Source organism: Homo sapiens, chromosome 1 (genome assembly GCF_000001405.40).
Source record: "Homo sapiens chromosome 1, GRCh38.p14 Primary Assembly".
NCBI classification, from domain to species: Eukaryota; Metazoa; Chordata; class Mammalia; order Primates; family Hominidae; genus Homo; species Homo sapiens.
Genome location: NC_000001.11, coordinates 175186974 through 175201933, shown reverse-complemented (window position 1 = coordinate 175201933; position 14960 = coordinate 175186974). Strand labels below are relative to the sequence as shown.

Here is a 14960-nt window from a genome sequence, read left to right as displayed (position 1 = left end):
TCTTTTGGACACACTTGAGAAACTCGGGTTTAGTAAAACTAGACAATAATCCATCTATTGATATCTTGAACATCTCAAAGTTGTTTCATATCCATTATCACACTTGTGTTCTAGGCATATGTTGTTATCTCTATTTTATAGATGAGGAAACTGAGGTTCGAAGAAGTTGTGACTTGCTCAAGGTCACAAAGCCAGGTAACAAAACTGGACGAAAAACTGAGGCTTCTTGCCTGTTAGCTCAGTGCTGCTTCCTCTGGCTATGCCTCCCCTGTGAATACATCATAAGTAAAGGGAAGGTCGCATCTGAAAGGGAAGTATATCCAAGCAGATCCTCTAAAAACCAAGAAACACACACCCGGCTTTCTGGACAGCAGGTATCAGCTAGGAAAGGACAGGTTCAAAAAAGAAACAGATCACCAAATCCCCTGACCCCTAATGGCTCTATTAGATCCCTCAACATAGGATAGAACTCACTTGGCCGGAGACCAGTGCAGTCAATCCCCTTCCTGCCTGGGAGTTACACTCATAACAACAGCAACAGCAGGAAAAGGGCTTCATGAACATAAAATAAATAAACTTTCTATTTTTAGCAGAGCGTGCAGCTGGGAGAGCTTCATTCTTTGCTCTTTAGCTGCAGCATTCTAAGGGAGGCAAGGGTTGAGGGGTTGGGGGATGAGGAAAAGTAGGGGCAGTCACGCTGGGAGCCACATTTTCCATTGCCAAACTAATTACATGCAGGCCACAGAAACCAATGTCCAGCCTGGAAGTCTCTGGAGTCTGCAGGTCTGGAAAAACTGGACAGCGTCAACCAGGAAGGCAGCCCCGTGATTGGGCTATTTTCTGGCCATATATAGGAATAAATAACCTTTTGCCCACATGGTTTTTAGAACCACTGAAAACTGTGTTGCCTAATGACTCTGTTGGAGTGGTGGAAAATAAGCTTGTAGATTTTTTCCCCTCTTCACTTAGGCTGTAGTTGGAACCTGTGTGATTCTCACAGGAACTCAGATCCAGCATCTTTCAGACTTACATTCTGTGTCCAGAATTCCTGATGAGCCTGCAGCAATTTTTCCCTGCCCAGCCCTTGTCAACAGCTGGCAACATCAGGAGCCCGAGAAAGAACACTGTAATGCTGGAAGTGGGGAATAATAGCAGCTGCAGTGTGTTCTTTCTGTTGGTCTGGAACAGGATTGGATGTTTCGAGAAGGGAGTTCCAAGGCAAAGGAGTAGCAGAGAGGTTCTTTCCTAGAACTGGCACAGTGGCTTTAGGAAAAGTGTGCACCTGATCTGGTTTCAGAAGGGCCTCTTAGCCTTGCCCTTGCCATACTCTGAGCCCATGTCACCTTTTATTATGTACTTTCCCCTCTCATGATTTTTTTTCATGCATAATTCCAGTTATACTTTCTGTCTTTCATGAGGACACAGAACTGCAGACCCCAGAGCCATACTGAGGAAGGAAAGAACCCAATGCTTTGGGCACTCACAAGGAGGTAAGTGCACAAGGAAGAGCATCATGCTCATCCCTGCTCAGAGAAAGCTTCTAAAGCTCCCAGATCTGGCCTTGTGGCCGAGGGTCTTCATTCACTAACAAATGTTGACCAACAACTTACCATTTGCCAGACACTTCCTGCTCACAAGAGCTCACAGTGCAGTGTGGGAGACAGAGAAACAGGTAATTTCATTACTGCGGGGCAGGCTTCATGCTGGGTCAGCATGGAGTCCTGTGAGAATACAAAGGAGAGGCTTCTACCTCCGTCTTGGGGAGTCAAGGAGGTGGTGACTGAGCTGGGACCCAGGCAGGTAGAGATTGGGTAGAGGTAAGAGTTTCTCCTTAAATGTTTCCCATGTAAAGGCAGCTCCCAAATAATAACACAGCAGTGCTAAAATCCATATGAGCTTAACCCAAGCCCCTCAAAGTTAGTTGATTTCTTGTGCCCAATAACATTTACTATGTTACCCAATAATATGCACTAAGCAAAGCAATTGCTGTCAAAACATAAGAAATAGGAGAGAACTCATAATTTATTTGAATGTGAAATTTCCACAGCTAACAATGTAAGCCCTGGAATCTTGGGATTGAAAGAGGTCATATGGACTACTAAATCCTCTCTCCAGGTATGGCAGTCCCCTCCACAGCACCCCTCCAGGTGGTCATCCAGTCTCTGTGTGAATTGCTTCAGTGATGGAGAAACTCATCATTGATCAAGGCAACTAGTGAGTTAGCTAGTTAGTTTTAAAGGCAGGAGCTAGAGTATATGGTGGCCTTTTACTAGGTTGGAGTTTCTGACTTCAGTCTCCCAGTCTCTCCCCACTCTAATAAATCCTGCAAAAGTCCACCAGATTAACTGTCTTTCAGATTGGTCAGCCCACTGTTCAAAATCTGCAGTGGCCACAATTACCTACATACAAACTCTATTTCTAAAAGACAAAAATAGCCCATACCAAAATGTTACATTTTGGTTACCAGAATTATGGATATTTTGTTTTTCTCCATTGTTTTGAGTCTTTCCCTAGTTTTCTGCATTGACAAGAAAGAGGTGGGTGGAGGGGAGAGAGATAGAGAGAGAGAGAGAAAGAATCATCAAATAATTAACATTACTTACCAAAAAAGTCCTACCATGTTTATCCCTTCTCCACACCTTTGTTCAGACTGTGGACAACTAGAAACCATTCTGTCTTTCCCTATCTTCAAATGCTTCTGCACCTCCCACATTCTGGTCAACCCACCTCCATCAGGAAGGTTTCCATGAGTGCTCCAGCCCTCACTGCCCTCAAATCCAAATTACAAAATTTAGCACTTCATTATAAGTAGTTTCTACTACTGCTAATCATTTCAATGGTCAGTTCCGCATTAGAGTGTAAATTCCTCGGGAGCTTCTATATGCTATCATATCATATCATAGTGCCTACCCAGCACAGTGCCGAGGTTATGGCAGGTTCTTCATAAAAATTTTTCAGTGGATGGATGGATGGATGGATGGATGGATGGATGGATGGATGGATGGAAGAAATTCTATTGCTGTATTTATTAGTTCAGTTGGTTAGGGCACAGTTCTAATGCAGTTTCATAGGTCATCTGATACTATGCTTCTCAAACTGTGGTGCATACATCCGCAAAGGTGTATGAAAATGTGTGTCAAGTGTATGTGAAGCCACAAGATATTAAATAATGTCTTCCTAAAGCAACAATTTCCTATCTTTTAGAGATACTTCAGTGCAGAAATTTGAAGCACTTTTATAGCCATTTTATAGCTTTCCCAAGTGCAAGAATTCCCTCCAAGGCTGATATCCATATTCTGCATGAGTTCATCAGTCTGGGCTTTGATTCCAGTTACTTCCTGATGACCACTTCAGTATGCTACCAAGAGATATTCCTGGAATGTGTCTCTCCAGATACATTCTTGCATTCTGCAAGTAGAGATTTTTGGACTACAAGCCAGACCCCCTGGTTTTAGTCCAGTCATGCAACTACCATGGGCAGCAGCCTCTTCAGTCCCCAGCTCCTCATTGAGCTTGCTCCCTTAACAAAGGTTGGATCAAAGTAAATAATCTACATGAAACATCACTGAAAACTTACAAAGCTCCAGGTTTTATTATTGTCATCATAATAATATGTCATTATTATTGTTATCATCCCAGAATCAGTAATTTAATTCTGCCCCACGGATATCCCACACCTGTCCAGCTGATTAAGGTGAGTAGCAATCGGGCTCTGAATTCAGAAAATTCTGGGTTGAAACTTTAGTTTCACTAGACCAGAGTCTCATTCATTTTTGCAAATCTAATATTTTGCATGACGCTGGGAACATATCTGTGCTGAATAAAAGTATTTCTCACTACTATTTATTGAAATCTCTGTCTGCCACTTACTGATCTTTAACAAATTTTTAAATTTTCCAAATCTTAGTTTCCACACCTATTAGATTGGTATTATAACAGTACCTCACAGTGTTGTTAGAAATTTAAAGGCAATATGTATAAGCAGTTTAGCACAGTGCCTGGCACAGAGAAAGTCAATAGTAATTAAAACACAGTGAGTGAGTGTACTTTTGCAACTTGATAAATGAAGGCTATCCCATTGTTCTGTGATGTTTTTGTCAGCCCTTCCTTTTACCTGTTATGAATGAGCCAGCCTTGGGAGAGGAAGTTTGTTTGTGGCAACATTGATGTTCTGAGTCACTGAACTAGTTAAGGAAGTAAATTTCAAAGCCATATTACTTTGTGGGCCCTCAGGGCAAGAGGAATGAACAATTTCAGCCTTGACAGAAACATCTGCCAGAATGAATGCACTGGGCAGGGCAAGCTGGGGTTTCCCAGGAATCTCTCTGACAAAGTGACAAGAAGTGTTCTACCCAGACCATGTAAATGCTACTTCATGAAACCCACACGATGGGCTCGCTCAATAAATTGATATGTAAACCCATCCCCAAGGGAAGAACAGATGACAAGGGAAACCACAAAGAGAGGCAAAATGAGAACTCTGTGGGGCTCTCTCCCCACACCGAGACCCCTGCCACAAAATGGAATTCAGAGGCCTGTTTTTTACATCTGAACAAAGCCAATGCTGAATCCCAGCAAAGGGTCTGAAGAATAGCCCTGGCCAGTTTATGACTGCCAGTGATAGTGCTGTAAAAATAGCTTTCAAGACACAACTCAGGGTGGGGGGCTGTGAGCCAGAAACAGAAAATGGAAACTGAGCCCTTTTGTGCCCCAGAAGTATAAACAAAGGGCTTTCTAAGCCACCAGCCCACCTTGACCTCCATACTGGAAGAGGTGGGGCATGATGTACTATCTCTAGAACTTACAGGAGTACTCAAGAAAGCACAAAGTGGGCTGGGCGCGGTGGCTCAAGCCTGTAATCCCAGCACTTTGGGAGGCCGAGGCGGGCGGATCACGAGGTCAGGAGATCGAGACCATCCTGGCTAGTACGCTGAAATCCAGTCTCTATTAAATATACAAAAAAGTTAGCTAGGTGTGGTGGCGGGCACCTGTAGTCCCAGCTGTTCAGGAGGCTGAGGCATGAGAATGGCATGAACCCGGGAGGCGGAGCTTGCAGTGAGCCGAGATCGCACCACTGCACTCCAGCCTGGGCGACAGAGCAAGACTCCATCTAAAAAAAAAAAAAAGGCACAAAGTGCATGGAGCAGAGGGGCATGTGTGTGGTGGGAGACAGGTAGATTATTAGAGGAGACATCCAAGAGCTTCCTAAACCTCCTCCAGGGCCAAGATTTGGAGCTATAGCTGTAAAAGCAACATTTTGCCAGGCATCCTGGATGTAGCAATGAAGACATTTTGGATGCCGCATTAAAAAAAAAGCTCCCAAGGAAAGTATATTGTTAACTCCTGTTTTTTGTTTTTTGTTTTTTTAAAAAGCTTTCATAATTAGAGTAACTTATGTCAGAATTAGATAATTTAGGAGGAAGACCTGAACAGAAATCTAATTGCAAGAGCTAAATATGGTAACCAGTATGGAAGCAGACACTCAAATCTGTTCAGAAGTCGAAAGTCAAAATAAAGAAGCAATGCATTTTAAATGGGCTGTAAGTCTCAGGTAAAAAGAACATGGTTTTGCTGCCTTCATAAAGCAAAGGCCACAGAGGCTGAAGAATTAGGGAGGTAGTGTTGGTGCTGCCAGTCAGCTCCAATCCAAGCCCTATGGAGGCCAGGACTCTTTGACCACAAAGACCCCCAGGTACACACTGTGTAAGGCCTCATTGGGCCACCCTGAACTCCCCACCACATGGAGTATATCTCTGCTTCCTGCAGCTCTCTTTATGCCTCTGCCATTCACTCTTCTGGAATCCATTTATGTTGCCAGTTTGTACCACCTCTGGGAGATAATTCATTCCATAAATTTATTACCTGCTGCATGAAGTAGTATTTCCGCTGACTTGTCCTGAACTTGCCCCACTCGTGGTTCCAAAGCACTGCTATATTTCAGGATCTGATGAACAAGTCTGTGCTCATCATATCCACACCATTTATAGTCTGATCATTTCCTCCTAACAGCCTTCTCCTTGTCAGCAGCCCTGTGACTTCTACTCAGTTCCTCAGAACATCCATGTTGCTATTTGGGGACTTTCCCTATCCCCGTTTTAACCTTCTAGACCCTCTCACAGTGTTGCAGGCAAGAATACACCACAGTTATTGGTAAGAGTAAAATGATGTTCTCAATTTAAAATTTCCCACACCTGAAAAATGTGTCCAATTTTGTGCAGCACTGTCCTGGATGCAACCACATTATAAAAGACACAGCTTCTAGACTCTGGGTTTGCAAACTCATGGGAAACTGTCTCCAGGCAGCACGGGTGGATCAGTACTGGCCAATACTGCAAGTTAACCTGTCTGAAATAGGGCATTGCCAAGAAAGAAATCCAAGTGTAGTCAGTCTTAGCTTCAAAGCAGACTAAGTTCAATACTTAGCACTCCACTGATTTTTACAGTATCTGAGAGGGAGGCAACCCCTGTTTTCTGCAACATACTGATGTGAAACCAGAGATCAGCAGGTGCTAAAGCTAGTGAGGAGTGGTCAAAAAGGGGTTCCAATTTCCAGTCTCAGTGCACAAATCTGCTTTATTTTGGCTTCTTTTTTTAAAAAAAAAAAAAGTTAATATTTTGTTCTACTCCATTTAGTGCCCACTAAGCTCTTGACCAACTTCAAATATCCTTACTGAAAACAAGAAAAATAATAAGGATTAAGCAAAACGTAGTAGCCCTGTTGCTGCCTGGGGCTGTTCATGAGTTCATAGGAGTTAGGATTTTACTGCCAAGGAATAAAATAGTAGGTGGGTGTTCCAACCTGCTTTTTCATAAGGAACACATCATTCATCCAGGGTGAAAACATCCTTGCCAGATGCCCACTTCTTTTCTTCTGCATAATTGCATCTTCTAGTAGTGTCAATACAGCAACAGACTTTGCAGCCTTGGCAGTCTAGTGTGAGTAAATCCACCATCCAGCCCACCTATAAGTCCCTGATTTCTCTGCCACAGAATTTTCTGGTTTTCAGCATTAGACTTTTCTCCTTATGAATTGAGATAGCTAGAGATACCATCTTATGGATGGCCCTGGTTTCCTTTCTACGATCAGACAACCATGTCCATGAAGCCCTGAGCTCAATTCGATTGCCCCTGTTTTTCTCATTTAGTTTCTTCCTCTTTTCTCTTAAAAGCAACCCTACATACCCATCACCCTGGCCAGAACCAATCTGTAATGTTGCTCCAGACTTTCAGGAAAGTATTTTCTATGGCCTCCCCGCAATAGGCGTCATTCAAGACCTGTACATGATCCCTGCTCAAGTGTGGAATTCCTTCACAGAAGGCAAGTTCCTCCTCTACTAGATGATATGGTGGTAAAAGGATGCACTGGGTCAGGGGGAGCGGCGGTTGGAAACACTTGGATTCAAACCTGGCTCTACCATTTATTAGCTATGTGACCTTGAGGAACTTCCTTAGCTTCCTCTCAACCACAATTTCCTCACCTGTACAATGAGGATAATACTACCTCTCATAAATGTGTTGTGAAAGGTTGAATGATACACTGTGTGTAAACCTCCAGGCAGGAGATCCCCATTCCCAAATTTTCAGGCCAGCATTCAAGGCCTTACTATCATCCATCCCAGGCCTGTCTTCCTCATGGCCCTGTTAGACTCTATACTCTGGCCTTAGGCTCCAGGAGTTTTAGAGGAACCTACATAGGTACATAGGTACATTGTACATAGGTAGACAACTGCAGGCTCAAAGTGTCATTACAGATTTGAGCTTCTCCCGGCTTGTGAATCTAGTCTTCCTCTGTAAAAAATAAATAAATAAATAAATAAATAACTTATTTTCCTCTTTTTCTAGCCATTTTTGGCGTTTCAGGCTGGATGGTGGGTTTTCTCTTTGGCCTTTCAACTCAGAGCCACGTGGTTTCTCCTGAATAAACAGAAAGGAATCTCTTGAATCTCAGTTGTGACAGTTGGTTGCAGCAGTCATTTTAATGCCCACTTGGAGAAGCCAAAGGACACCCATACTCAGGCACAGTCGATGGAGGGCAAGTCCTGGTTCAGCACCTGGCACCTGGTACCTGTGTACCTGGCAAATACAGTCGAGGGAACAGCATTTCAGGCCCTTGTCAGGGAGGACCTCCCAGGATGACACTGAGGAGGCCCCTGAAATGATCCACAGCCAGGTCCTGGCATCCCCCTCTTTTCCCACCCACAGTATCCCTGGAGGCACTGAACAAGCTCTGAATCATCAGAGCTTTGTGTCTGGAGTCCCCTATTCAAAGGGGCGCAGGTCTTTTCATTTCCTAGCATCCCATGTGCTCGGAACTAGAGCCAAGAGATCTGAATAGAAAGTAGATGGAGAGCAGCTGAGGATGAGAGGGAAGAACCCCTGAGAACTTTTTGAAGTCAGCTTTCCCCTCCGTCATTTGCTTGTGACAGACAGCTCCTGGGGCGCAGTTTTCCTTAGCGCCTCCAGGCAGCAGAGACAAAGACTCTTCTGAGATGTCACCTGCACCCCTTGGAGCAACCGGCGTTGGCTAGAGGGGACTGTCATGCTCATTTGTCCCGATAAGACATCGGAGCCTTCACCCAACCTGCCGCATGGTATCCCTCTCCAACGCCTCCCACCCCTTCCAGGAAGGCCCTCTATTTAGGCAGCTGTTTTCCCTGAAGCCGGGTTTGCCCGGAGTTCTGTGTCCCATTCCTGGAACACTGGTGCGTCTGTGAGAGACACCGGGGCTGGCTCCGCAGCCGCTGTGTCCTGAAGGAGGCGTGTTCCGGGACTGAGGGGGCAAGGACACGTAATGGCGGGGGGCGGGGAGTGGGGAGCCACCGGCGGGAAGACGGGGAGGGAGGGCGCGTCTGGGGCGTGTGCGCCCAAGGCCAGAGGCACCCGAGGTGGGCTGGCCCAGGGTGGAAAGCCTGGGCCGAGCCCCTGGAGCGGGCGGAACGGCGAGCCAGATTCAGGAAGTTGTGCCTGTGACATCAGGGGCAGGACAGAGTTGGAGCGAAACCTCAACTATGCCAGGCGTCGGCCCGTAGGAAGGCAGGGAACACAGAGGGCGCTGCCCTCGGCGGCAGCGGCAGGTACGCGCGGGGGTGGAGCGGGGCGGGGCGGGGCGGGGCGGGCGGCTCCCACGACCTTGGCCGGCGCCGGGGCCCTACACGCCAGACCTGGCTCGGGGTGGGAGTGCAGAGGCAACCAAAAAGGAACCCACACCTCCCTCCAGGGCCCGGGGCGCTGTCAGACGGGGCAGCAACCAGGAGATTCCCTGGGCCTGCAGGAAGCCCTTCCGCGGACCGAAAGGTGAGTTTCAGGACTTTCTGTTATGTTTTTTAAAAATACATTTTTAAGCGCCCTCTGTTTGGAAGAAGACGCCCAGTCACTCCTGTCTTTAGAAGGATGAGACCTGCCCCAGAGATACAAGGAATTATTCCTAAGTAGCCTCTTGCGCCTTCACAACTTTAGTTCTGGTGTGTTTCCCTCCTTCGCGAGGACTCTCAGGAGTCTTCCTCTCTGCGCCTGGGCTGAGTCCACATGAACTCCTCGGAGGTCGGCGGTGGAGTTACCTTACTCCAGCTGCCGGTAGGAGCGCTTTGAAGGGGACACATGGAAATTCTGTTTTTTACTGAGAAAGCTAAGGCCTGAGACCCTCCGGAAAGCATCGCGGGCTTAGGTGTTTCTAAACCATTCTAGGTGAAGCCAGATTTTCTCTGGAGCTAAGGAACTAGCCAAAACGAAAATATGGCGTGGAGCCAGGGGCGGAGAGGAAACCTGTTTGCTATTCTGAGAGTTTCCAGGGAGCTTGCTGTGACACAGATTACTTCCTAACTTCTTTGACTCTCAGTGGTCCCACCCCCAGACCCCCCATCCCACCCATGAAGGTAGAGTGGGGGACATAATAGGACCTGTTTCCCTAACATTCTGAAGAGCTTTACGGGATTCATCATATGATAATAGAGTTAAGTAAACTATAGATGATAGCTAGTGGGAAGACCAGTCCTGCCTAACCGAAAGGGAAACTGAAGCACAGACAAGCACTCACCCTAATTTAACAGAACACCGGCAGCCAGCATGCCATGCTACTTAGCGGGATTGTGCCACCGATTGCGTTATACGAGGAAGGGAAGGAAAAGACCACTGGAGCATCTTGGAAGCTCCTCCCTTCTAAAGCAGTTGCATTTCATTTGCTCAGCTACAGCTCATAAGGACCTGAAGCTAATTTTAAGGAACCCTCATTCTGAAGTTCTGTTAGATAATGGGAGAGCCTTGAGTTACAAAGAGCAGGACTTAAACATAGCATTGATGCAACCTGTTCCTAACCCTTTTGCAAATGGTTTGCAAGTTCTATCTAAAGACTTCTGCAAGCGTCTTACCAGCCTTTAAACTGGTTCAGTTGCATCAACCACTTAGTCTGATGTGCCTGCCCTTCACCCAGTGCTGGGCTGGAGAGGCAGCTGTACAGGAAAATCTGACCAAGTCTTTCCTTTTGTCTGAAATTCTGCCTCTCTGTCCCCATCCCAGATACAATTTTAGGAAAGAGATGCGTTGTAAAACAAAAGTTTCTTTGGCCTCCATGCATTGTCAATATTTGGCCTGTGAAATGAGTATGACTTCTGTCCTCTTCCCTAAAGACTAAACCCAAGAGAATAATAAACACTCAACAAACTAAGTTATTGATTTCACCAAAGAGGGAGATGCATCCATTCCATACATTCATTCAACATTTGCCAAACCTACCGTGTGCAGGCCAGTATACCAGGGCCTTGGAGTCCAAAGATAATGAGATGGTTTCTGTTTTTGAGGAGCTTCAGTCTGGTAAGTGAGACAGATACAGAAATAAACTGCAGTTCAGGATAATATACATTGTAATAGCAGTAGCTACAGGGCACTGACTAATCCAGGGGAGAGGGCAGGAGATCCTTCCCCAGAATTATCTGTGAAGTCCACACCACAGAAGTGATGGATGAGCAGGGTCTTGGAAATGACTAGGAGTTCCTAGGGAAAGTGTGTTTTGAACAAAGGAAAGAGGGTATGCAAAGTCAATGGCAGGTAGGGAATAGCGTGTAATAGGAATTACACTGCTAGACTGAGAAGGGTGAACTCCCTCCTATAGGAAGCCATTTTTGAGTTTTTAAGCAGAGGAAGGATCCGGTCAGATTTGTGTTTGGAAAAAGAATTATTGGCCAGATGGGGGCTGGCTTAGAGAGATGGGAAGCAGAGATAATTAAGACCTCAGCTAAGACAATGGCAGTGGGAACTGAGGAAAAGGAATGGATTTTAGGAAGTAGAATCAGAAGTACTTGGTGACCAAGTGAATGTGGTAAAGGAGGAATGAGTGAATAGAGAGTGATTATAAGGTGTTGAGTGGGATAGGCAGGGGAAGGTACCTTGTAGAGCCATTAATAAAAATCATGTAAGCTAGAGAAGGAGTGGGCTTGGGAAGCAGATTGTGGAGAAGGCAGTGATGAACACTTTAGGCATATTAAAGTTGAATATGCCCAGGAAATGTCCAGATGGAGATAAGCAGTTGGGTATACAGGTCTGGAACATAGGTGGAGGTGGAAGGCAGCTAAAGAGGCCTGTGGTAGCACCACATTGGTGCTGAAGAGTCTTGTATTTGTCAATAGTGGCCTATAGATATTTTCATATCATATGTTGACTTCCAGATGACTTTCTCCGAACGCTCAAGGCTTTCTCAGGATACCTTGGAGGATAATTCCTAAAATAAAGAAGAGAATTCTGGGTTCATGGCACATAGATAGTAAAGATGCATTTAATTATCACTCCTCCATGTGAAAAATTAATACTTAGTTCAGTTGTAAGATCTGTGAAGACCTTTCCAGAACTCACACTCCAAGTCTTTAGTTACCTACCCCTGTGTGGGAGAGTCCTGACTTCATAAAAACAAGAAGGATGACCTACTCTGACTAATTTCAGACCCCTACAGAGTAGTTATTTAGGTCTGGCTGCCAGTGCTCGGCTCAGGATCTTGTGTGACCTGCATGGAAGAAAAAACCTTGAGCTTGGAGCTAGAGATACATGGGTTCAGTTCCTGGCTTAACTGCTTATTAGCTGACCTTGAACAAGTTCTTGAAAGCTTCATTTCCCTTATATTTAAAATGGGGATAATTATTACTCACCAGGGCAATGGTTAGAATCAGAATCAAATTGAAAAGGAAAGTACATTTAATGTGCTACATAAATTGTAAGACTCTATAAAAATGTAAGGGGTTTTATTGTTATTTCTAATCTTGCCTCTTGAAACTACCAAAATTAGACGGACTGTGTAGGTGTAAGCTCTGGGCAGCATCTTCAGCCCAGACTTGCAGCTTTCCTATTGTATGACATATTTTAAGGCAGTAATGATAAGTCTCCTTCCATGATATCAATCACATGCATCTACTCTGGCCTCTTTTGTCCTCCTTAGCTAAAATGGTCAGAGCCCAAAGAAGTCAATGCTCTGCTATTGCTTGTGCAGGTTGTGTACTGCACAAGGACTCCTGGGAGTCTTTGGAGCTGAAAGCACCAATATTCCACCTGCTAGGCCTTAGACCCACCCCACTTGCAGCTGAGTCCACATGGAGGGGATGCTTTTTTCTAATTCTCACCAAGGTGCTGGTTTAACCCATTTAATCCAATGGCCCTGAATCTGAGCATTAGTCAATGACTTGGGTATATTTGTGATTTTTCCCTGTCCCAACCAGGGAATCCTGACTTATTCCAACCCCATGAAGTTGGAATGTTATGCCAACGTCAAAAACCTTCAAGTAAACAGAGTTCTAATAGAGGCTAAGCTGTTGATGAAAAAGAGGAAGTAACCACAGATTCAGAGACTTCAAATGGAAAAACACTTCCGAGAAGAGCCAGCCCCACCCCTTCACTTCACAGATGAGCAAACTACAGTTCAGGGAGGGGAAGTGTGGGCCCAGTCACAGAGCTGGTTAATGGAGGGACCAGAATCCAAGTTCCATCTGCCTCTGCCCAGGAATACCCAATACTATCCAGGGTCTCTATCACCTTTTGTATCTCACACACAAGGACACAGCTAGGCATTCAAATGCCTGTGGAAAGGTGAAATGAAAATTGTACCTCAAGTTCCAATCCTCCCCAAGTGGCCTCCAGGACAAACTAGGGGCAGACCCTCAAGGGATGCAGGTAGTTCTCAACTTTTAAGGCAACCTCCATACCACCCTCGTCTCTTCTGTTTCCTCAGTTTCAATCCTTAAAGTTTTCTCAGGAGTTCCCAAAGACCCCTCAAGAAGAGAAACAACATTGGGTGCCTTAATTAACTAAAATCCTTTTAGTGTTTCCTCAAACTTGTCAGGAAGAGTGTTTCACCTCAGAGATAAGAATGAGCTAGAGACCAGTGGATTAGTTGAAATTACATATCCAATATCGATATGTAACTTACCATTCAGTGAGAAGGGTTCCAGGTGAATAATGGGCTTTCAGGAGACTCGTCACAGACACAGTAAGGGAGATAAAGACAGTAGCATGATAGACTTTTTCCCTCCCTGGACAGCAAAAGGAAAATCGAGTGCAAATTCTTTGAAAGACAATCCCCAGGGCCAGAGCCCAGGCCAGGTTTCTAGCTTTTCCGCCACATCAGTCTGAGCCATCTGAACAGAGCATCATCTGGGGACATGAGTGGACATTTAATGGAGACCAGGAAAGGGCAGCTAAGTTCCAAAACGAACCTCACACAAACACAAAATTTCTTTCTCAGAGGCAACTCCCAAGGGACATGGCGGCATCCAAACCCAATCCCCACCCCTGGGAAGAGACTTGCTCCCACGATTGTGAGCAAGCCGCTCCATGGAGTTTGTCACTAAGAAATAAAACAAAACCTAACCATTGCTGTAGTTCTTGGTCAAAATTGAAGAGATGATTGTATTTAGAAGCCACTGCAGACATGCCCTTGCTCTTGACTATAGCTTTCTCCCGATGGGATGTTTTTCAGTTACATTTTATTCTCCTCAAATACAACCCTAATTTCAAGCTGGATAGTCTTCAGAAAAGCCCATCAGCATTTTTTTTTTAGTTTCCCAGGCAAGTCATAAAAAGAAAATTGGCAGAAGAGAGGAAAATAACATACAAATAATAACAATAAGGATAGTCGCATGTGATAGTATGTTTAGTCTTCACATTGTCCTGACAGGGAAAAGAGCTGTGGGCCACAGGTTCAGAGGTGGTGTAGGGGCAGGGAAAGAGGGTCAAGGGCAGGGGAAGGGAAAAAGGCCGTGGGAACAGGGAAGACCCATGAGCTTAGTGTTATGGGAACAGAATAGTATAGTGGATATGCTGTGTATTAACTTAAATGACATGTGACAGTGGCCACCATAAATAAGAGAAAAGAATGCTGCACTCTGAGTCAAGAGCTTCTTGTTCCTCCCCAACTCAAGTAAGATATTAAATGTGCATCCATCTGCTCATGGTTTCTAACCTGTGATTCCTCTGCAGCCCCATGGGCCAAAGTGCCAGCTTTCAAAAGCCCCTCTGCATGTGATTATCATGTACCAAAGCCCTGGCTGTAGCCTGCAAGTTCCAGACAGCCACTCATGCACACTGGCCTGAAACCACCCAGAAACTAATGCTGGGGTCAAAGTGACCTTCCGAGTGATTTGGAACCCACAGTAAACAAACGTCCATCCAAACTTTCTTGGCTCCCACAGATTTTCAGTGTGCATGCTAGGCTCTCAGTAACCGCTTGTTGAATGGTGGTGCTAAGAATTTAAGGCATACAATCCTGCCCACCCCTACCAGAAACATATGTAGTTTCTTCAACATTATGTTAGGGAGATGTGTCAATAACAAAAGAGAATAAGTTACTCTTAAGGCCAGTCCTGCAGACTTAGCTTATCTATGAAACCCCTTTCTTGTAAATGACTGATGGCTTCCACCCTCCTTTCTCTCTCCCTACCTTCCACTCCTGACCTGAAACTTCCCTCCTGCCCAAGGCCCACAATCTG

General features: G+C 45.3%; 1 protein-coding gene across 9 annotated transcripts in view, besides 5 other annotated features; it reads left to right on the top strand.

The window, feature by feature from the left end:
• Positions 507–801: a silencer, noted in NCBI's record as "tiled region #6447; HepG2 Repressive non-DNase unmatched - State 24:Quies". NCBI's record gives its function as "represses a minimal TATA promoter and a strong SV40 promoter by Sharpr-MPRA in HepG2 cells {active_cell/tissue: HepG2}" and the evidence as "EXISTENCE:reporter gene assay evidence [ECO:0000049][PMID:27701403]".
• Positions 8496–8605: an enhancer, noted in NCBI's record as "active region_2132". NCBI's record gives its function as "activates an Ori minimal core promoter by ATAC-STARR-seq in GM12878 lymphoblastoid cells {active_cell/tissue: GM12878}" and the evidence as "EXISTENCE:reporter gene assay evidence [ECO:0000049][PMID:35858748]".
• The window catches only part of KIAA0040, a 36002-nt gene continuing 29988 nt past the window's right edge, over positions 8947–14960 (top strand). For 4 of the 9 annotated variants that reach the window (NM_001162895.2, NM_014656.3, XM_047435110.1 and 1 more), the window contains exon 1: positions 9158–9294. The gene's annotated coding sequence lies outside the window, so the exon portion shown is untranslated. Of the gene's footprint in view, positions 9075–9157; positions 9295–14960 lie in introns of those variants that run through there. The other 5 variants (NM_001319230.2, NM_001162894.2, XM_047435111.1 and 2 more) reach the window with 2 other exon arrangements.
• Positions 9326–9475: an enhancer, noted in NCBI's record as "active region_2131". NCBI's record gives its function as "activates an Ori minimal core promoter by ATAC-STARR-seq in GM12878 lymphoblastoid cells {active_cell/tissue: GM12878}" and the evidence as "EXISTENCE:reporter gene assay evidence [ECO:0000049][PMID:35858748]".
• Positions 9716–9765: an enhancer, noted in NCBI's record as "active region_2130". NCBI's record gives its function as "activates an Ori minimal core promoter by ATAC-STARR-seq in GM12878 lymphoblastoid cells {active_cell/tissue: GM12878}" and the evidence as "EXISTENCE:reporter gene assay evidence [ECO:0000049][PMID:35858748]".
• Positions 9906–9955: an enhancer, noted in NCBI's record as "active region_2129". NCBI's record gives its function as "activates an Ori minimal core promoter by ATAC-STARR-seq in GM12878 lymphoblastoid cells {active_cell/tissue: GM12878}" and the evidence as "EXISTENCE:reporter gene assay evidence [ECO:0000049][PMID:35858748]".